This window comes from Homo sapiens, chromosome 15 (assembly GCF_000001405.40).
Source record: "Homo sapiens chromosome 15, GRCh38.p14 Primary Assembly".
NCBI classification, from domain to species: Eukaryota; Metazoa; Chordata; class Mammalia; order Primates; family Hominidae; genus Homo; species Homo sapiens.
The window spans coordinates 86294626-86317582 of record NC_000015.10 but is presented as its reverse complement, the minus strand read 5'-3'; the positions used below and the strand labels follow the sequence as shown (position 1 = coordinate 86317582).

Sequence of the window (22957 nt, the reverse complement as noted above, 5' to 3'; positions counted from 1 at the left end):
TTCTTTCGCCTCTCAAAGTTTTATTTCCTCATTGTGCATGGTGTTCATCACCCCAAGGGAGTGGTGCCGATTCATCATTCATACTGCCTGAAAGGAAACAAACATTGCTCGCAAGTGTTGCTAATTTTCACTCCTAATTTCTCCAGTGCTGTTTGGAAAGGATTCTTCCTTTCTCTCATTGCTTCTTTATTTATCTCTCCCTTGCTCTTTATTACCAAGGAAATCTCTGTGCGGATAGGATATTGTTTTCCTTTTCTTTCTTTACAAAAGCCCATCTGCTCTCTTGCCACCTAATTCCCACCTCAAGTCATCCCCCTCTGTTTGTGACATCATGATTGGTTGCTATGGAAACAGATGAGCTAGAAACTAGGTTGATTCAAAGTGTTTTGTGGACACTTCCTTTAAGAACAGTATTGATAGACTGCCTTTATGCAAATCCCTTTGGAAGAAAGGATGGAGAGGAAGAAGCCGGAAACAGATGAGAGGCAGGAAATACCAAATTGCATGTTTATAAATGCTGTGAAGGAATATGGCAAGAGGGGATAATGCTAGACTGGCGGCCATGGAAACTGAAGTCTTCTGTTTGTTCACAGGACGGCTCATAGCCCTGAAAGTCCCAGTTCAAGCTTCCACAATCATCCTACACAAGAGCACTGCTTCTCACAGGACTGCCTCAGCCTGGCAGGATTCAGTCTCCTGCTCTGAGGGAAAAACAGGAAGTCAAGGATCAAGACCGAGTGCTCAACTGAGATCAGAAAGGAGGACACACAGTGACTTGGCCAAATCACTGGAGATTCACACAGCAGAGCTCAGACGAGTGCTATCAGCACAGCTGAGGAAGACAACAGTTAGGGTAAGATGGAAAATGTGGTCTTGTCATCTTCAGACCCTCTGACCCATTTTTCCCTTACCATGAATTTGCTCCTCCACCTCACAGATAAAATCTAGTCAGACAGGAAGAGCATTATTTCGGTGGCCTGCAGAAAGTCAAGGGACCCACTGATTGCTGAATCCTCTGAAGTGGGGTCACCTCCACAATGACTGACCTCTGGGTTTCTCAGAGGAGGAGACAGATGTTCAAATTACCGAGGGGTAGAGCAGGCATGAGAGCCAGGGCCGTCAGGCTTCCAAACCCACTCCGTTCACTCCTGCGTTTGATGGCTTGTTCCTGTCCACCCACGGCATGAGTGGGTGTGGTTCTTTAGTATAAGCCGTGTAGGAGAGAAAGAGGAGGAATACAAGAAAAAATGAATCAAGCACAGCTCAAAGTTCTAAGGAATCATTTGGGGCCTCTGGAAGAGCCTTTCACTCCAAGATGAGTTGGGATTTATTTCAACTCGGAAACAGAGTTTCAGTCATTAAGATAGGACACTTCTCCCCTGTAACTTCCTCTAAACCTTTTACACTACTGTCATGGGACCCTGTTAGGCATCCTTCATGGGTCTATCTTTAGTAGACAAGCTAGGAATAAAGAAATAGGTGAGGGATAGAAGGAAATTCATTTGCCAAAGCAAAAATTAGATACATTTGGATTCATTTGAATAAAATGAATGAGATAGTGCTTTAGTCTTTGCTGAAAGCTGTCTCTAACTTGTTGTACTAAATATAGATAAGGTTTTTTCCTGAGAGCTTTAGGCTGAAGCAGGATGTTTTGTAATGCTTGCTATTTCCTCCCCTCTGGTATTTTCTGAAACTACAGATGGGAAAGGCTATATCCTTCCCTTTGACCAGTGCCACTTTGGAGTTAAATGCTAGCTATAGTATTCCCGTGTGAAATAAAAGGAAGGTAGAGGACTAATATTTTATTGAGCATCTACTGTGTGCCTAGCACTGTGTTTTACATATACTTTTTTTTTTTTTTTTTTGAGAAAAAGTCTCACTCTGTCACCCAGGCTGGAGTGCGGTGGTGTGATCTCAGCTCACTGCAACCTCTGCCTCTCGGGTTCAAGTAATTCTTCTGCCTCAGCCTCCCAAGTAGCTGGGACTACAGGCGCGCACCACCTCACTCGGCTAGTTTTTTTTTGTATTATTAGTAGAGACGGGGTTTCACCATGTTGGTCAGGCTGGTCTCCAACTCCTAACCTCGTGATCCGCCTGCCTTGGCCTCCAAAGTGCTGGGATTACCAGTGTGAGCCACTGCGCCCGGCCCCACGAATTTTTTAAGCTTTACCATAGTCATATGTGAAAATACTACAGGTATTTCATTTTACAGATGATGAAACTGAGGCTTAACTAGGTTGCCCAACAGTCAATACCTTTAGAAGTCTACCTAGCTACTCTGAGAGAAAGCCCAAATGTGAGTGCAGATAAGAGTGACTCCAATACCTACACCTGAGCTATAACTCTTGACATTACATTTCAGTAGCTTGCCTATCCATTTGAGTTTCACCATTAGAAAGGCTTTCGGGTTACCCTGGGTATTAAAATGGCATTGTATAAAATGGGCAATTACATTTCAGCTTGCAATGAACAAGGAGGATGGAGTGAAAGATTATGGGTATGAGTATTTAACAAGCACCCTCTCTTTACGCTGTGTTAGGAAAACATACCTTACCTCATTAATCCTCACCACAACCTTAGGAAGGTGGGAATATTATCCCTATTTACAGATAAGGAACCCGAAGCTTAGACAGTTTAAGCCACTTTCCAAAATTCAGAAAATCGAGATTTCCAATCCAAGTCTGATGACAAGCCCATGTTTTACAACTCTATCAAAATGCCTTATTTCCTGGAAAACATGCCCTTGAAAACATGGCTTTTTATGGAATTCACAACGAGAAAAGATGGAGCTTGAAGATTAAATCTCACTTCCTACACGGCTGGTTTCTGAGTGAGGTGCTCAGGATTAAAGGGACTTCCTACTGGGGAAGCAATGTCTCAGGAAAGCCAGTCACTGTTACAAGCGGGAGCTCCAATTCATTCCTGAGTGAAGGGTTCCTCTTGGGCTAAGAACCAGAGGTGGTGATAATGATGCCTCCCAGGGTGTCTTCAATAAAATTAAGCCCAGGTCCTACAGAAATGTCTGTGCAAAGAGACCCACCATAGAGGAAGGGGCCATAGAATTTCTCCAGTTGGTTCCTGCTCCTTAAATTTCATCCTTCTTTTGGATATCAAGCAAGAATTCACTGTGCTGCCAAAACCAGGCTGGCCATGGGGACACCATGCCCTTTTTTAATGTGAATTCATTCCCAGCTCCTGTCTTGACTCCCCCAGCATAGACCAGGCTGGCACTCTAAAGGAAGATCTTACTAGCCAGAAAAAATAACTAAACAGAACTAGGCAAATGAAGTAGCATGCAACAGGCTATCCTGGTTTAGGTGTGGTAACTCCTCTTGTTTGGCCAAAGGCCTCTCTCAGAGTGGGAGGCCATTTCCATGAATAGCTCCTACCCATCCCACCTATACCCAGGAGAGGTCAGTTCCTTCTCCTAAAATACCCTTGGGCATATCCAAACCTCAAAGATAGACTATAAGCACCAGGAGGGAGAGCAGGAATGATACCTATTTAATATATATTCAGATAGCCTCAATAAGCAGAATCCTGTGGCAGTAAGGATCTAGGCGTTTATGATTCTGATATCACCCATCTCATTTAGTAGGGCTCATCATCTAACTTGTGTGTGGGTGCCTTCCAACCCTGTCTCTAATTATTTGAGCCTCAGCTCTAAAAATGCTAAATGCCTGCTCCCACTTAATGAACAATACAGGGTTGAAAAAGCCTAGCTCTTCTGACCAGCTCTGAACTAAAGATAATCTTGGTTCATTAAAAACCCCATCAGCTTTATCTCTAAAGTTATTCCAAGAAAGTGCTTGAGCATTTCATAATTAACATGTGGCAGCAGGTGCTATGAACAAAGCAGGACAATTATAATAACTTGAAGTCAATAATTCATAAATGATAATGTATTATTAATCAATTATTGGGGTCTGAACAACAGTTAATGAGATTAAGCTGATTGCCAGGCTGAACTGTTGGATACATATTGATTTAATCAGAGTGCTTAATTAAACTATGTAAGTTGCCCAGCAAATCATTACATCACAGCTTCCTTCAAAGGAAGACAGTTTCTATTTCGCTTTCCTTTTCCTTGTGAATTAGAAATTGTTATTGATTGAAAAGAAATTAAGATAAGGATTCTTGCTTTTCATAACAACTTAAGAAACTGCCATACCCTCTGGCTACATTTCTTTTTAATCATAAGGAATAAATGTTGTTTGCGTAAGTGTGCTTAGACTGCAATTTGGTATGTGGGAATTCTTTGTTTTTTTTCTAAAGAGTTCAGAATCTGAATAAACAAGACTACATTATATACCTAAACAAAGAAGATAGTCACTTACAACCCTCCATTTTAAAGACCAAGAAAATCGACCTCAAAGAAATAAGTCCTGCAAAATATTGAGATAATCCATGATTCAAATTCAGGTGTCCCCCACTTCTTACCATGACTAAAGTGTTCCCAAAACCTCAAATTAAGCTTCCATCTGCTGAAAACCAGAGAAGCATACCCATTTGACTCTATGGGTTTCCAACAGCACCTTCCAGAAGCTGAAAGCTGCTTCCCCAGCAGCTTAAAGTTTTTAGAATCACTCATTATTTACAACGACGCATAAATCCTTTTCTTTTGACATGCAGGTCCTTTCACTTGTCATGTTGCTAATGATGGGAGTTATTTTTGTTGAACATTGAACAAAATGTTTTTTGCTCAGTGTTTCAGCCCAATGATCCTGCCTGAGGGGAGACAGTGACAGCTCTGTTGAAGCATCCTGGGGTACAGAGAGCCCTGCTGGTCTTTCTAATTAGGGCTTTACCCTGTCAGTTTCATGAATAGCCACTTCCTAACGGGATGTGCATCACTACATGTTGAGAATGCCCTTGCCCTGTAAAATTCTGGGATGTCAAAATCCACAGCTGCCACCTGGACTCGTTGCTCAATGAGCCACAGAAAATCAGCTGCAGGGAAGATACACATAGGACACTGGGGTAACACCAATTCCCTCTGAGCTGCAGCATGCAAGCTCTTAATGCGATCATCTGTTACCAGGAAAGGCAACAATGCGCACAGTTGCTTAAGGGGAGAACTTGATCACTTGATCATTACCAAGGTGGCTCATGGACATACATTTTAATTATCACATTTGGGGCAGTTAATTTGCCCAGTGACTCAGCTCATAACCTGTGTTTCCAAATCTCTCTTGTGAAGGGAATCAGTGAAGTGAGCTCCCAGCTACCGCCTCGAGAGGCTGCTATTGACAATCTCCTGTCTGGCCAAACAACTTCCTTTCTACAACTTTGCCTGGGCGAATGGCAGTAGGAAAACACCACCAACAAATTGGAAATTGCCACATCATTCACATCGGTTTTCCTCTACTGAATCCAATCCCTGCTTTCAAGAAGAAAGAAGTGGTAGTACAATACAATCTCAGCATTCTGTAATCTGGCTTGAATGTGACTGTAAGTTTTGTTTTGGGGTGAGGGGATGTCCCTGTGGCCATAATCACTCATCACTTACTCTAACAGAGAAATGAAGACTCCCACTAGGTCATGAACATTCATTGTGAAAAAATAGCTAGGATTCATATCTGGGTTCTACTACATCACTCTATCCTGATTTTTGAGAGCATGGGAACATCGATCAGCTATGCTGAGAATTATTCACTGTCCCAATTACTGTAATTACACCCGCCCTGTAAGTTACAATTTAGAAGTTCCATCTTGGGACTGAGAGAATTTCCACCAGCTGCAAGGGAACAAGCTCCTTCCGCAGCTGAAGGTACCTCAAGCAAGCCTCACAGATCAGAACAGCTGGGTGTGGTATATCGAATAACTTGTCTTTTTGAGCTTTCTGGTGTTGATGTTGGATACAGGTGACTAAAAACACACATGAGGTGCCTCTGGGTAAATTAGTCATCTTACAAGCGGAAAAAATAAAAATCACACTCTTCTGTTGATATTCGTGATGTCAAAAAAAAGAAAAAAAATAGGAAGCCCCGGAGAAAACCCGGGTTTTGGTTGGAATCTTAATTCAGGAACTCCAAAATATTTCTTCACTAAAATTCTTACTATCTGCTAAGGAAAAAAAAATTCCAAGAACCATAAAAGAAAGCGTATTCTTTTCAGCAGGAATAATGTCAATTCTAAACGTAGAATAGCAGATATGCTATTTCAAATTACAAACAGACCTTCAAATTCATATTATCCATTATAGCAAACAAAAAATAGACTTTCATTTTTCTTTCTAATGGAAGAAAGTAGCATGTAAAGTAGAAAGATCAAGGGGGTAAGAACTTCCATTTTTTGCAGAATAATAGACTAACTATTCTGAACAACCTGCCAAAGGAAACAACAAAAATGTTGAATTTCTTTTCAAAAGTCATTTTTGATGCATTGCTGAATTGGTCTGAAAGAATAAATCTGTAAGTGCCAAGAACAAAGGGAAACCAAAAACACAACTTGGAAAATAAGCAAGCGTCGAAGCCTGTCTCTCCCCCTGAAGGTTTCAACTGAGCCTTGGAGACCTTGAGCTTCTGTTCTGAGGGCTGCAAGGGACGCAGGGAACCAGGAGTGAAGCGCGGGGCCCACCCACGGCAGGGCATCCAGTAGGAAATCCCTGCATAAAGCTAAGTGTCCAAAGGTCTTTACTCTTAATTCACAGAACGGGAGAGCAGGAACAGCTTTTTATGTCAAATTTTCCCTAGGAATTTATAATGATAAGCAAATCCTCACATACGTTTGAATTTATGATCCATATGTGATCCCAAAAATCCATAGTAGAGAATATGGTCATCCCAGTTTGCTAGCACTCTCAGTTGACTAACAGAGGCAAATAGAAATGCTTTTGCCAGGCCAGCTTCTGTGGCCCCAGGCTCTAGGCTGGCCCCCACGGCTCCATGCCTCAGTGGACCCATGGTCCAACCCTGCCTCAGTAGAGGTGCTCGTTCAGCCCCTGCGAACACAGGCTCCAAGCCAGTCCCCTGAGATCCAGTGAACAGGTCCACCCCAGGGGCCCCCTGCACCAGGCTGACCCTTGGAGAACTAAGATTCAGGGCCACCCCCAGCAGATCCCAGCTTTAGGCTCCCCTCAGTGAATCCAGGCACAGACCCACTCACCTGCTGACCCTGGAACTAGCCACCTGCCCAAGGACTCCAACAGGAAGCCTGCCTGTGGATCATGCCAAACGCCCACCAAGAATCTTTGGATCAATGAAATTAAGAGTTGCTTTTTCAAAAAAATAAACAAAATTGACAAACCTTTAGCCAAACTAAGTAAGAGAAAAAGAGAGGAGGTTTAAATAAAATTTTAAACAAGAGGCATTACAACTGATACCACAGAAATACAAAGGATCATAAGCGACTACTATGAACAATTCTGTGGCAACATATTAGACAACCCAAAGAAATGAATAAATTCCTAGAAACATAAACCTACCAAGACTGAATCATGAAGAAACAGAAAATATTAACAGAAGACCAATAACAAGTAAGGAGATTGAATCTGTAATCAAAAAACTCCCAACAAAGAAAAGCTCAGGATCTGATGGCTTCGCTGGTAAATTCTACCAAGTATTTAAAGAATTAACTCCAGTCCTTCTCTAACTCTCCCAAAAAATTGAAGACAAGGGAACATTTACAAGCTAATTTTTCAAGGCCAGCTTTACTCTATGACTGAAGCTAGACAGGGATATTATAAGAAAAGAAAATTATAGGCCAATATATTTGATAAACATAGATACAAAAATTGCCAATGGAATACTAGCAAACAAAATTTGAGAGCACATTAAAACATCATACACCATGATCAAGGGGGATTTATCTCTAGGCTGCAAGGATGTTCAACATGTACAAATGTGTTACAAAACATGAACAATAAATGTTATTATTGTGATACACAACATTAACAAAATGAAGGATAAAAATCATATGGTCATTAAAACAGATGCATAAAATGCCATAAAATTCAATATCCTTTCATGATAAAAACAACTCTCAATAAATTAGTTATAGAAGAAACTTACTGCAACATGATAAAGGCCAAATATGACAAGCCCACAGCTAAATACATACTCAAAGACAAAAAGCTGAAAGCTTTTCCTCTAAGATCAGGAGTAAGACAAGGATGCCTACTCTCACCACTTCTATTCGATATAGTACTAGTGGTCCTAGCCAGACCAATTAGGCAAGAAAAAGAAATAAAAGGCATCCTAATTGGAAAGAAAGAAGTAAAAATTTTTCTGTTTGTAGATGACATAATCTTATATGTAGAAAACTCTAAAGACTTTCACACAAAAACTGCTACAACTAATAAATTTGGTAAGTTGCAGAATGCAAATTTAACATACAAAAATCAGCAGTGTTTCTATACACTGACAACAAACTATTTGAAAGGAAATTTAAAAAATCTCATTTACAATAACATAAAAATAAAACTTAGGAATAAATTTAACCAAGGAGGTGAAAGAGCTCCACACTAAAAACTATAAAACATTGAAAAATAAATTGAAGAAGACACATATAAATGGAAAGGTATACCATGTTCATGGGTTGAAATAATATTGTTAAAATTGCCATACTATCCAAAGCAATCTACAGACCCAATTCAATCTCTATCAAAATTCCAATGATACTTTTCACAGAAATAGATAAAACAATTCTAAAATTCATATGAAACCACCAAAGATCCCAAATAGCCAAAGCAATCTTGAGAAAAATAAAGAACAAAGCTGGAGACATCACAATACCTGATTTTAAAATATACTACAAAGCTGTAGTAACCAACTCCACATGGTACTATCATAAAAACGAACTTACAGACCAATGGAACAGAATAAGGAGCCAGAAATAAATCCATGCATATGTGGTCAATTGATCTTTGATGCAGGTGTCAAGAGTACACAATGGGGAAAGGACAGTCTCTTATATATGTTGTTGAGAAAACTAAATATACAGATGCAGAAGAATGAAATCAATCCCTTATCTTACACCATATACAAAAATCAACTCAAAGTGAATTTAAAACATAAATGTAAGACCTAAAACCATAAAATACCTAGAAGAAATATTATAGACTGGGTGGCTTAAACAACAGAAATTTATTTTAACGGTTTTGGAGGCTGGAAGTCTGATAGCAGAGTGCCAACAAGGTCAGGTTCTGAAGAGGGCTCTCTTCCTGGCTTGTAGATGGCCACATCTTCTCTCAGTGTCCTCACATGGCAGAGAGAAAGGGAGTAATCTCTCTTGTGTCTCTTCTTATAAGAACACTAGTATCATCAGGGCCCCACCCATATGATCTTGTTTAACCTTAATTACTTCCTTACTTCAAATACAATCACATTGGGGATTAGGGTTTCAACTCATGAATTCTAGGGGAGAAACTGACCTAAATTCATACATAGGAATTCGTTATAGAGCAATGAAAAATGAGTAACTCAGATGCCAACTCAAACATGTTAACATAGTTTAATCTTTAAAATATGTTTAATAAGATAAGCAATTATAAATAGAATTATATAATGTTTCTGTTTATGTAAAGTCCCAAACAGGCAAACTCAATAGTAGATGGTCAGAGATATATAAATATGTGATTTAAAAGTATAAAGAATAGCAAAAGACCATTTAGCACAGAATTCAGGATGGTAGTTACTCTGAGGTAGTATGAGTGAAAGCCATTGAGCAAATTGTTATGGGGACTAAAATATAGGTAAATGTCATATTTCTTAAATTGGATTGTGTATACATAGATGTCCATTTTATTATTGTTCTTTAATCTAGGTCTATATGTTATATAAATTATTTTATAAGATACTAAAAACAAAACTGTTTGTCTGATTAGAGAAGACCTAATTTTTTTTTTAAGACAGGGTCTCACTATACTGTCCAGACTAGACTCAAACTCCTAGGCCCAAGTGATTCTCCCACCTCAGCCTCTCAAATGGTTGGGACTACAGGCACACGCCACCCTATGCTGCTGAGAGAAGACCTAAATTCTGATTTCTCACTCCATATTTAATAGCTATGCAACCAGGCACATCACTTTTATTCCCTAGGTCTTACTTCCATCATCTGTAAAAAGGGAAACTTTTTCCTAACACATTATGCTTACAAGTGTAAAAAATAGACTACTATATTAGATTCCATGAAAATTAAGCAAAAAAAAACTAACAAATTTAAAAAGAGGTGACAGGGAGAAAATGTTCCCATATTTAGTAAAATGATCAATAATCAATAAATCTTTGCTAAATGAATGAATCCATGTTTAACACAGAGGAATATTCCTAATATTCAAAGAGTTCCTCATAAATCATTTATAGAACAAATCATCTAACATAATAGACAAACCAGACAAATGATTTTAAAAATAAACAATTTAAAAGGAAGAAATGAAAATCACAAACATTTTAAAATATGGACCACCTGAGTCACGCCCCCAAAAATACAAATTAGAATAACACTAAAATGGTGAGTTCTTTTTGGAGGGGGGCAAGAGAGTTAAGATTTTTTAAAACTCCCCTCTGACAAAGAATTAATAGCCAGAAGATATAAAGAGCTTAAACAACTCTATAGGAAAAAATTGAATGATCCGATCAAAAAATGGGCAAAAGATTTAAATAGACATTTCTCAAAAGAAGACATACAAATGGCAAACAGGTACATGAAAAGGTGCTCAACATCAGTGATCATCAGATAAATGCAAATCAAAACCACAATGCGATATCATCTTACCACAGTTAAAATGGCTTTTATCCAAAAGACAGGCAATAACAAATGCTGTTGAGAGTATGGAGAAAAGGGAATCCTTGCACACTGTTGTGGGAATGTAAATTAGTACAACCACTATGGAAAACAGTTTGGAAGTTCCTCAAAAAACTAAAAATTGAGCTACCATATGATCCAGCAAGCCCACTGCTGGATATATACTCAAAAGAAAGGAAATCAGTATATCAAAGAGATATTTGCACTCCTATGTTCATTGCAGCACTGTTTTTACAATAGCTAAGATCTGGAAGCAATCTAAGTGTCCCTCAACACATGAATGAATAAAGAAAACGTGGTTACATATACATAATGGAGTATTATTCAGCCATAAAAAAGAATAAGATTCAGTCATTTGCAACAACATGGATAGAAATGGAGATCATTATGTTACATGAAATAAGCCAGACACAGAAAGACAAATATTGCATGTTCTCACTTAATTGTGGGATCTAAAAATCGAATCAATTGAACTCATGAAGATAAAGAGTAGAAGGATGGTTACCAGAGGCTTGGAAGGTAGTAGAGGGTCACAGGGGGAGGTGGAGATGGTTAATGGGTACAAGAAAATAGAATGACTAAGACCTACTATTTGATAGCCCAATGGGGTGACTATAGTCAATAATAACTTAATTGTATATTTTGAAATAACTTAAATAATGTAACTAGATTATTTGTAACTCAAAGGATAAATGTTTGAGGGGATGGATGTCCCATTGTCCATGATGTGCTTATTTCACATTGTGTGCCTGTATCAAAACATTTCATGTGCACCGTAAATATATACACCTACTATGTACCCACCAAAAAATTAAAAATAAAAAAAATTAAATTAAAAAAAATTTTAAAAACTATTAAGTATAAAAATGCAGAAGACAGATAAAATTGTTGACTGAGCCATGGAAGAAAATAATCTCTTACACTTTGTGGGAGTGTAAAGTGGTAGCACAGAATCTGGCGAGGCTGTCAAGTCTCAGATTAATGGGAAAGAGATTTGGATTTCCAAAGGAAGTCACAGACTTCAATTGTCAAGAAGGCCAATTTAAGTACTTTTTACCTAAATTTCAAGGCTCTGTACATATGTATTCATGCGTCAGTATGTGAGTGTGCATGTGTGTGTGCATGCATCTGTGTATTAAAGGATAAATTTAAAACTACTAACAGTAATTGTCTGAGGAGTAGTAATAGGAGGAATATGGAGTTATTTTCACATTTCTAACTCTAATTTATGCATTTGTTAGACAAGGATGACATGTTGACACTTTTTAGTTTTTTAATTTTAGACATGAAATATAAAAATAGTTGGAGGCAGAAAATAATATGAGACACCCATGTTTAAAATCATTAACATTTTTACATATTTTCTTTAGAACTCTTTTTCTTTAAGAAATACAAACTCCCCAATAGATGAGATTTAGATTTCATTTTGCTTTCCCTTTCTGCTTTAAATTTCGCTTTCCCTTTCTCCTTCCTCAGATGGAATCACTATCTTGAATCTGGCGGTAGCTTTCCTTCAGCATGGTTTTATACTTCTCTACACATGTAAATATCCATGAACAATAAATTGTATTGTTTTGCTTTATGAAAACCACATATTTTATTGGGAATTTTAATAGCAAACTCATGGTCATGCCTGGCTAGCACCGTCTTATATCCTGAGTTTGGGGAACTGACAAGGTTGCTAATTACCCAGCCCTCAGGACATGTGTTAATAACAATGGAAGACAAATCGGTTGTGTTTTTCTGCCTTAGGTGCAAGGATCCTGAAAGAGAAACATTGGTTGTGTTTTTATTCCTTGGGTATAAGAATCCTGAAAGAGAAAGGCATCTGAACCTTGGAGGCATGGGGTTCATCTCATCCTCATCCAGCCTGTGATGATGGAGCTGTTTTCACCAGAAACGTGAGGAGACTCATACCACTTGAGGTAGTGTGGATGTGTGGCACAGTTTTGGAGAGGGCTATTCCCCTACCTTTACATGGAATCCAGTAACTCTCTGAAAACATAGCAATGGCAAAAGTCCTTTTCGAGACTGCAAGGAAAACAAACAACTACCAAGAGAAGTCCAAGCATCAGGGAAAGAATGAAGTGGTGTGGAGACCATAGCCAATAGCTGCTTTATGAGCACATTTGTGGCTACCCTTGGGGACCCAAGAAATAACCGGGTAAGAGGTAACTTTCCAAGAGAGGTTAAAGGTCCTACATGGTGGCTAGGAGCAAGAACAGGTTCAGGGATTTCACTTACTTGTTGAATAAACATGTCTTGTGCACCTGCTTCATGCAGAGACTGTGTTAGTTCAAAGACATACAATAGAAAAAAATACAACATATAGTCTGTGCTTTCATGGAGCTCAGTCATAGAGGCAATGAAGAAAAAAAGTAGCAAGGTCATGTGATAAAGAGATTCGGAGTAGGGGAACAACATTAGATATCATGATCCGGGAAGACTTCCTTGACGTGAGCATGAATACTATATGACAAGGAGAAATCAACCATGCATAGCTATGGAGAAAAAGTGTTGGACACAGAGGAAACAGCAGATATAGAGACCCAGTGGAGGTGGTTAGGTTGCTGTGTTCAATAAGTAGAAAGAAGGTTAGTAGGGATGAAGCATTTTAGATACGGGTGGGAGAGGAATGCAGAGTATTGTAGAGGCAGTAATATTTAGATTTTACTAAAATTATAAGGGTTATTAGTGTTTAAATGACCATTGGAGGAGCCTAGAACATATTACTTGTAGTGTAAACAATTCTTCTGACATATGGGTGATTGTATCTTGAAGGTAAAGGATTTTCCCTCATTATTGCACAGCTGAAAGAGGCAGTCAGTACAACAGTTACGATTATGGGGTTTAGAATTCAGATTTGGTTCAAATCCAAGCTCTACCTCCTACTTATTATATGTCTTTCTCAGGTCTCAATTTCATCATCTAAACATGGAGATAATACATCCAATTCTTTCTTTTTTCTTACCTCACAGGGCTGTTGTGAGGTATTAGTCATATGTAATTGTTTTGTAAATAATGACCTTGAAATATGCAAATCATTATATCACATGAACAAATTTGTAGAATAGAATGTTCTAGGACTGATTCTGATGAAATATATTACATGTTTCTGCTGTAATAACTGTATAGAATTAACTCTGATATCCTTGCTGATTGAGAAAATTAGGTAGTATAAAATTTGTTTTATTTCTCTCTAAAATAGAGTATATTTTATAGCATATTGGCTGTATAATTATATTTAGCCTTAGTTCTTAAATAATTTTTAGGCCTCTGAAAATGTATATTTCCAAAACCAAACTTCTTATCCCCCGACAACAGTCTTACTCTTTTTCACATATTCTTTGTTGGCATTCAACTATCCACCCACCAACCAAAGTGGAAATATTAATATTTCAACTCCCTACCCTTCATACCTACTCTCAGCCAGTCACCAAGGATGTCTCACTTCTGAGACACATCTCTTAAATTTAGGCCCCTCCCTCCCATTTCCCTAGACCTATCTTCCTTTGAAACCTCATCACCCACTTAGTTGACCAACAACTGATAATATTTCTTGAACACTCACTATGTGGGAGACACCCTTCTAAGCCCTTTACAATCTTCAAATTGCTCTATGAAAAAGTATTATTATCCACAACTTATATGTGGGGAAACCATGACACAAAGTGTTTAATCGTCTTTTCCAAGGTCATAAAGTTAACAAATGGCAGAGCCAATATTTGAACCCCAGTAAGTCTAAGACGTAAATGCTTCAGAGTTCCTCTGTGCTGGACTCCATGACACCACTATCCTCCTTACCCCAAACTTTCCTCTACATTACTGCCACAAAACTTTCCAAAACAAATCTGATCTTGTCATTTCTCTGCTTTTAATAACATCCTATTAGCTCATAATTGCCTTCAATAAAAACTTTTTAACATGAAAAAGAAGGCTACCTATCATTTAGCCCAACTTACTTTTCCCATTTTATCTGCTGTCCCCATACTCATTCCACAATTCTGTAGTCCTGTACCCTGAGATTTTCTATTTACTTTTTTTTTTTTTTTTTTTTTGAGACAGGGTCCCACTCTGTCATCCAGGCTGGAGTGCAGTGGTGTAATCTCAGCTCACTGTAACCTCCACCTCCTGGGATCAAGCAATTCTCCTACCTCAGCCACCTAAGTAGCTGGGAGTACAGGTGCGTGCCACCACATTCGGCTCATTTTTTTGTATTTTTAGTAGAGATGGGGTTTCACCATGTTGGCTAGGCTGGTCTTGAACTCCTGACCTCAAATGATCCACCCACCTCGGCCTCCCAAAGTGCTGGGATTACAGGCATGAGCCACCACACCTGTCCACCCTGAGATTTTCAAAGCACCATATCCAGGTCTCCTTGCTTCTGCATATGCTATGTTTCTACTTGAAAAGACATTGCCCCCATTTCTCTGCATATAGAAGTTTGACTTCAAAGTGTAAATCAATGGCATTGGCACTGAATCTAATTTTTATCATCCATAAAATAGGTGTAATAATTACTGTCTTTCTTAATTCATAAGATAATTATAAGAACCAAATGATATTATGTAAAACTGTATAAGAATAAAATATTTACATGATAGGGTGTTAGCCAAGCTATTCAACTACCTTTAAGGTTTTACAATCTTTCCCACCCACTTCAACCAGCCTTAGAAGGAGGAAGGATTCCTGACTTCTTATTATTAAAGTGACTAGGCCAAAGTGGAAAGCAGAAAGGAGATATTCAACCATCCTCGATGTCACACAGCTTGAGGGTTTGTATCTGAAGAGGGTAGGATCATGGTGAGTCACTGTTGATATGCAGGCAGATCAACAACAGTGAGAAAAATGAGGAAAAACAAATTTAAGATGGTTTTGATGCGTTTTATATATTTTACTTTTCATGTATTCTCAAGAAAGAGTCATGAGAATAGTTTTTGGATTGCCAACTGAGCTTTCTTTGAAAGCAAAGCTGTGTCAATACAAGACCACCAGGCACGTGGAGTTTATACAGGTGACCATGGTGGGTAAAACTCCCCCTTTGATTTTACCATGAAGATACATCCTCTCTTCTCTGTGCTTCCGCTGAACTTAGTTTCACCCCTGTTAAAACTTTCTGTATTATAATGACCCGTTTGACATCACACACACACACACACACACACACACACACACACACACACACACACACACACCCTGTAGATTATGAGTACCTCAGTGACAAAGACTAAATAATACTTATCTATGTGTTCCTAATATCTTCAGCCCAGGTTGCCTGAAAAGATGGAAATCCCAAGACAAGAAAAGGGCACAGTTCAGTTTCTCTGACTTCTTTTATTAAAGATTTCCATGGAGAGAACTCATTATGCTCTTGTAGTTAATTTTTTTTTTAGCTGTACTATTTGTCAAAAGCATCACTTTCCAGAAAAAAAAAAAAGATTGCCAAGAGACAAGAGGCTGAGGTCTAGAACTACCTCTGCCACCAACTAGATAGGTAACCTAGATAGTCCAGCTCATGTCCCTATGTCCCTCAGCCCAATCTCTCACCAGCAATTGAGAAATCAGGACTCAATAGTCTTTATGGATTGTTAAGCTCTAAAATTCAGTAATCCCATAGTGATACTTGTCCCCACATGTCTCTGGGAGGTACAAAAACAGAAATGTCCAGAGTGAGAGTTTTGCAGTTCGCCTGAGTTTCTGTTTTCCTGGGACCAACCACTGTTGTCACTTCCAGCTCTCCCCAACGGAAAGCTCTGTTCTTCACACCTGATCAGGAGGCTTAGAAAGAGACAAAGGCCAGAGAGAGTGGAAAATGATTTGCAAAGAAGCCAAAAGGGGAATTCTGTAACTGTGTATTTTTCCACTCCTTTCTAATTTAAAACCACTTACAAGTGACAACTCCCAACCCAAGGCAGGTGCCGCAGTAGCTCATTACACCCTCGGGACCCCATGTAAATCTTTTTTCTGAGAACAGCTATTGTCTTCCAAGGAAAAGCTTTTAGCATAATGGCAGGCTGAATAGAACATTGCTTTTGTAAGAATATTTTTAAGAAAAAGAAAAAGAAAGTTATTCTTTAACAACTGCAAATGCAGCCTCTTGCTTTTCCCCACCTCAGGCCCCCTGGAAAGAACAGTTGTGAGCCATAGGAGACTGTGGCAGGGGAGTGAGATTATCTCACCTCCAGAAACATAGAAAGGTTATGCTTTGCTGTTTTAGATTATAATAAATGCAGGGTGGCGGTGTCTCAGATTGCAAAAATAGCATATCCACCCCCTCCCAGCCACCTTTGTTGTTTCTTGACTTCTCACCAGTGAATCAGCCTGTGACTATTCATTTAGAGAATGAGGGTTTCTAATAGGAGAATGACATTTTCCCTCAGAAAATTCCCACAAATTCATTCCTTCTCTCAGATCACTCATGAGGACAGTCAAGACAATGTTGTTATAGGGTCTAAATGTAGAGATGTCCAGTTTGGCAATAAACTTTCTAAGAAAAATGAAGCATCTTCCAGAGATATAGCTCTCCAAACTAAAATGGGACTCAACTTTCTCCAGGCTAAAATGGTCATTTAGAATGCGAGGTTGTGAGAGCAATGTGGAGAAAAAAATGGAGAAGTTAAAAAAATGATAGTAGCCTTCACTAAGTAGTGTGTTCTGGTTGTGTGCATTTCTGGGTAATAGTCCAGTAAGACCAAAGCCTAAAGAGGGGTATCTGGGAATATGTTTGATGGATGCCATCTGCAAAATGGAGGTAAGACAACAAGTATAGGAAGGCCAAGAGCTCATTACTAAGAGGAATTTCCACACAAAGGCAACTCCATCTGTGTGAGAAGAAACAGAAAACAGGCATGGTTTTTCGGAAATGGCTGAGTCTGGGCAAAGGTAGAATCATTCTTCTTTCCAGGATTAGATAAATAATGACCCCCCAAGACTCTTTATTCTGATTGCTTTTTAGTTCTGCTTAAATTCAGCATCTTCTCTCAGTTCAAATTTAAGAAAGGAGATACCACACCACCCACCGACATATCCCATTCTGGAAGAGTATACAAACTAAAGATAGAAAACTTCTCAAATCTACCTGGAAGCTTGCATATTCAAAGGGTATGCTAATCAAAGTACCTATTCACATATAATGTGTTGAAGGATTTAAGTAGGCTAAATGTAATTATGCCAGACTACCATTAACCAATGGAGACTAGGCTCAGAAGGCACTGAAAAGAATTTCCTGGACTGATCGTGCCTACCAAGCCTATTCCCAAACAGCTTATGGGATATCTTCTGCTCCAACCTGTTGGAGCTCCTGTTCCATTTTCTTGGATTCTGTGTGTTCCTCCTCACTCCCGTTCTGCTGTGCAAAACCCAAATGCCCTGCCTGGCTTCCTTTGACATCCCAAATCCTACTAGTTAGGAAGGGCCTGGGCTTCCTAACTGCCCAACGCCTATTCATCACTCAGAGTCCCTGATGCCAGGCTGAGCTGTTGATCCTTTTGTAAAGGTTCCCTGCTACCGTCATTTTCTCCTTAAGCCCCCCTCTTCCATAATGACTTCAGTGACAATCTCCCAGAGAACTTCCCTGTTCACTGTCCCACTGAAAAGGGCAGAGAATGATTTTGCTCTTGAAGACCTGCCACAGTTTGGCTTTGAGGGCTCAAATATCAAGGTGTAAAGTAGTAAGTCTTCTTTATTGGGAGCATTTCAAAAAGGGACTGTCCTCAGTTCTCCAAATAGTGATAAAGTACACAGCTGGCAAATCTGGTGACGACTCAACTGAAAATAAGTTATCAAGAAAGTAAGGCTCAATGTTTTCAGGAAAATAACTTTAAAAAGAAAATGCTTTTGAAAAATAAATCAAACAAAATAAACACTTTTGGAAGACTCTCTGGAGCTCAGACCCTGGGAGGAACTAAAAGTAATCATTAAGTTGTCCTCAGTAATCTTCAGGTCCAGGACTTTAGACCAGATCATCAGGGGAACCAGCCTTGAGAGGGGAGTTCCCCCAGCATTCCATAGCCGTGGTCTTATTTCATGGAATTCTAAAGTAAGACTCAAGTAATAATCCCACACAGTGGAGAGAAAACCTTTATTTCCACTCATGCCTCCTTATGAGGGGTGAGTGACAGCTACTGAACCAGAAACTAGCTAAATTGCAGCTAAATGCAATCCCACACTGAAGCTACCCTAGTCCCTGAGAGGCAGGAAGCAGGTAAAACAATTTAATCTCACCTGAAGGGAGGCCTGGAGGCAGGAGAATCTTGAGCTGCAGGCTCATTTGCTGTTTTCTCCTGAATCAATACATCACATTTTATAATTCAAAGGAAAATAAGTAGTTCCATTTCTGATTTACAGGCATGGTTATTTGCACTTTGAAGGGTAGGCAGTGTTTATACTGGGCTGGGTTTTTTTTCTTCTTTTAGAAACACAGCAACGGCATGTGTTTATATATTCATATATATATAAGAATATATTCATATATATATAAGAATATATTCATATATATATAGTTACCATATATATAGTTACCTATATATATATAGCTACCATATATATATAGTTACCATATATATATATATATATATATATATATATATATTATACACAGACACGTACCCTGTATACATTTTTATTATGTAGCCCTGCTGAAACTGTGCCCCAGCACGTGGCTTAGGTCATGCAATCTCAGCTCTGTGCTGGGATCTGCTGGGTATGAAGAAAGGCCTTCAGGCAGAAAGAATTTTCTTTCTCCCTTCCTGCCACAGTATCTGAAGCATTCACCATGAAAATGCTTCCATTGGGTTAGGAAAGGAAAATAAAATTCGTTGTGAGCAAGAAGAGAGTAATACACTTATTTGTGGTCAATTTAGCATAAATGCTTTAACAACTCAGCTAGTATCTAATAATTTGAGGACAGAATGAGGAAGAGAGGAAGTTATGGCTCCAAGAGTGAAGCCAAAATGTTGATGCTGAACATGTGTTATAACAAAGGAGTCAGCACGTTTGTTGTGTGTGTGGAGTCTGGAATCAGAATAACAATGTTGAAAATCTGTCACCTCTACTGATCATAGTATTTAACCTTTCTGAGCTCCACTTACCCCATCTGTAAAATAAGGGGTCCTGAAATTAATCCCCATGATGAAAGATACCAATCAGCTACATAATCCATACAAATAGTATTTTCAGGGAGTGGGAAAAATAGGTTAAACCTTAAAGCTCTTCATGCATAATTTGGAAACAGAGAAGAGTAGTATCAGAAAGGCACTGGCCTTTGCCACTTTCTACCTTTATGACCTTAAATCACATCCAGGACCAGCTATGTAATTTGCAGGGCCCAGAGAAAAATGAAAAGGCAAGGCCCCTTGTTTAAAACTTTGTAAAGAATTTTATAAAGATAGTAGCAGAAAAGCATTAAGCAGAGTGCATGGCCCTTCTAAGCAGGAGAGCTCTGCAAATGTATAGGTGACACACCTATGAAGATGGCCCTAACTAGCCCTTTCATCTAGGTCAAAGCCTGGTTTCCTCAGGATCTAGCTCAATGATTGTCATTTGCAAGTGACAAAAAGAAAATGCATAGCATTTATCTGATACTTCTTGAGATGAACATCGGATATGTTAGCATGTGTTTAAAAGAAAAAAAAGCTGTTATGATCATAAGAGTGTACACTTACTATAACCCATCTTACAGAGCAAGCAGAAACCAGCCTCTTTTGATTCATATAAGGGTGTACTAAGAGATATTTTTTCTCTTTCTCTCTCTTTTTTTAACAGAACTATTTGTTGGAGTGCCAGATTATTTAAGGGCCTTTGCATGTTTCAAGTCCTCTTCTTAAAGTAAGAATACTCTCCACATTTATAACAGCAACAAAAACACCAATGTCAGCACAAAATGCAAAAACGGAGGCACTTCTATGTCATAATGATACATCAGAGTTCTGCTCAACTCTTTTTTAGAAAAAGAAGCTCAGACTTACACACATCCACTTTCTTAAATAAATAATTGTTCAATGAAAGTTACCCTGGGAGGATTGCTGTCTCCAGCTCCCAAGCACTGCTCATCTGCTGACGGGGGGTACTCTGTGACTGTTACAGAAATTGCTCTTAAATGCATAAAACACAGAAGAGAATTTTTGGAAAATCCCTTATTATTCATTAAAGCATTTTAGGGCCTCATTAATCCAGATGGGTTAATCGGTTGTTGATTTGCCAGGTTGTTAAGCATCCATTGTCAGATGCTGATGGGGTGTGAGAAAATATAATTCCGATCTACCAAAGAGTCACCTGAATGAGGCTAGCACTTCATCAGGGAAGGCTGTATCTTCCTCAGGGAAGGCTGTGTCTTCATCAGGGAAGGCTGTATCTTCCTCAGAGAAGGCTGTAGCTTCCTCAGAGAAGGGTGTATCTTTACCAGGGAAGGCTATGTCTTCATCAGGGAAGGCTGTATCTTCCTCAGAGAAGGCTGTATCTTCACCAGGGAAGGCTGTATCTTCATTACGGAAGGCAGTATCTTCTGGGGATAAATTAAGCTGGGCATCCAGCTTCTTCTTTAATTTCCAAAACTTCTCTGTATCACAAAACATTCCTCATTCTTTGGGTGTTTTTTTTTTGTTTTTTTGTTTTTTTTTTTTTTGCCTACCTAAGGTCTGAAATGATGTCAGAAGCCATTTTCAAAAGCTAGTTCGTAACAGGTCAACAGGTCAGTCGCACATATGCACTTAGGCACAGAAGCCCAACATTTAAAGATGTTTGTGTGTACGTGTCTGTATACGTGTATACACATCTGTGTATATGTTTGTGTCTACACATGTATACACGTCTAGGCGTATATGTTTGTGTCTACACGTCTGTGTATATGTTTGTGTCTACATGTGTCTATGTGTTTGTCTATATGTCCATATGCGTATATTTGTGTGTGTCTGCGTGTGTGTGCATGAGTTTGGCTTTGACTTTGTTTCAAAGTTCTTAGCTAGAGCCTGTCCACATCTTCAGCCCTTCAGACACAAATGGTATTCAGGTTATCAAGGGGATTCTTTAGCCAGGGCTTAAAAACTCAACTTTCTTTCTTTCCAAACCTTGACTGACTGAGAGTCACATAACAGCAGTGAGCACAGTGAGAAAAGTCCCTGGATTAGAAGTTGGAAAATATGATTCAGGGTCCTGGTTCTGTTTTAAGAGAGGAAGTGACCATCATTAGCAAACTGTCATTTCATCTGCCGGACAGTTTGAATTCATTTCATTTTCTCTCCCTTTAACAACAAAGCAACATTAATGTTTAACCTTTGTGTCACACCAAGAAAAGCTGGGGGTGTATTTCTACAAAGACAGACAGTCTCCAACCCTTTATGGAGCTTTTGATCTAAAAGAGACAGAATGCTTCCAAGACTATAAAGGACACCCTTAGTCAAATCTTCTACGAAGAGGATCCCATTTTACTCACGGAACTGCTCTAGATGCTCATCACTGTTGGACTCAGGCATGGCCGTGATGGTCACCAAGGGACACGGATTCCCTCCCAGCGTCTGGCAGAGAACATCTTGCCGGAAGTAGACCTCTTTGAGGTTGACACTCTTTTCCAGGATGTCAAGATGAGTCTGGAGCAGAAATAAAGCAGGCATGTATATTATCAACATTTTTTATAACAACAATAATAGAAAACAACAACGGCTTACATATAGTTTAGAAGTATTGTTGTTAATCTAATCTGTCCTTTATGTATTGGGCCTTGAGTGATTAAAAGGGGGCTATTTCTACTGTGTAGGAGAAACTCAGTGAGACTGAGCAGGAAGCATCATTCCTGCATGTTTTGGCATAACAGAAGATCTGTTTTCAAGTTGCACTGAAAGCAAGAGGGAGGAGGGCAGGGGCATAAAGCCCTCTTCCTATCGCTGTGACATACGAGGAAATCACAGAAAATGGAGACTCGGAAGGGTCAGGGGATGGGGTGGGGGAGGATCATGAGAAATGTGTTAATGGCTACAATGTACGTCATTTGGGTGATGGATACCCTAAAAGTGCTGGCTTGACCTTTGCTCAATCTATGCATGTAAGAAAACTTCACGCGTACCCATAAATTTGTACAAATAAAAATTAGCAAACAATTTAAAAAGAAAAGAGACAAATCTAAGCATGCCTTCCTTAAAATTAAAAAAAAATGTGGTTATCATGAAAATAGAACATGCCCAGAACACTGGGGAAAATGAGACAGAAAACTTCTACAGCA

General features: G+C 39.0%; 1 protein-coding gene and 1 long non-coding RNA gene across 11 annotated transcripts in view; one reads left to right on the top strand and one right to left on the bottom strand.

The window, feature by feature from the left end:
• Positions 1 to 22957, bottom strand: part of AGBL1 (AGBL carboxypeptidase 1) — a 951857-nt gene that overhangs the window by 713894 nt on the left and 215006 nt on the right. For 7 of the 10 annotated variants that reach the window (XR_007064423.1, XM_011521227.4, NM_152336.4 and 4 more), the window contains one exon: positions 22175 to 22328. Coding sequence is in view for 8 of the 10 variants with exons in the window: in XM_011521227.4 (XP_011519529.1) it covers positions 22175 to 22328 (154 nt within the window). In the remaining 2 variants the exon portion in view is untranslated. Of the gene's footprint in view, positions 1 to 21326; positions 22329 to 22957 lie in introns of those variants that run through there. The other 3 variants (XR_931751.4, XM_011521228.4, XM_017021921.3) reach the window with 2 other exon arrangements.
• On the top strand, positions 615 to 20750 carry AGBL1-AS1 (AGBL1 antisense RNA 1). Its single transcript, NR_046012.1, has 4 exons — positions 615 to 853; positions 5201 to 5451; positions 12499 to 12671; positions 20509 to 20750. It is a non-coding gene; the product is annotated as an AGBL1 antisense RNA 1 (long non-coding RNA).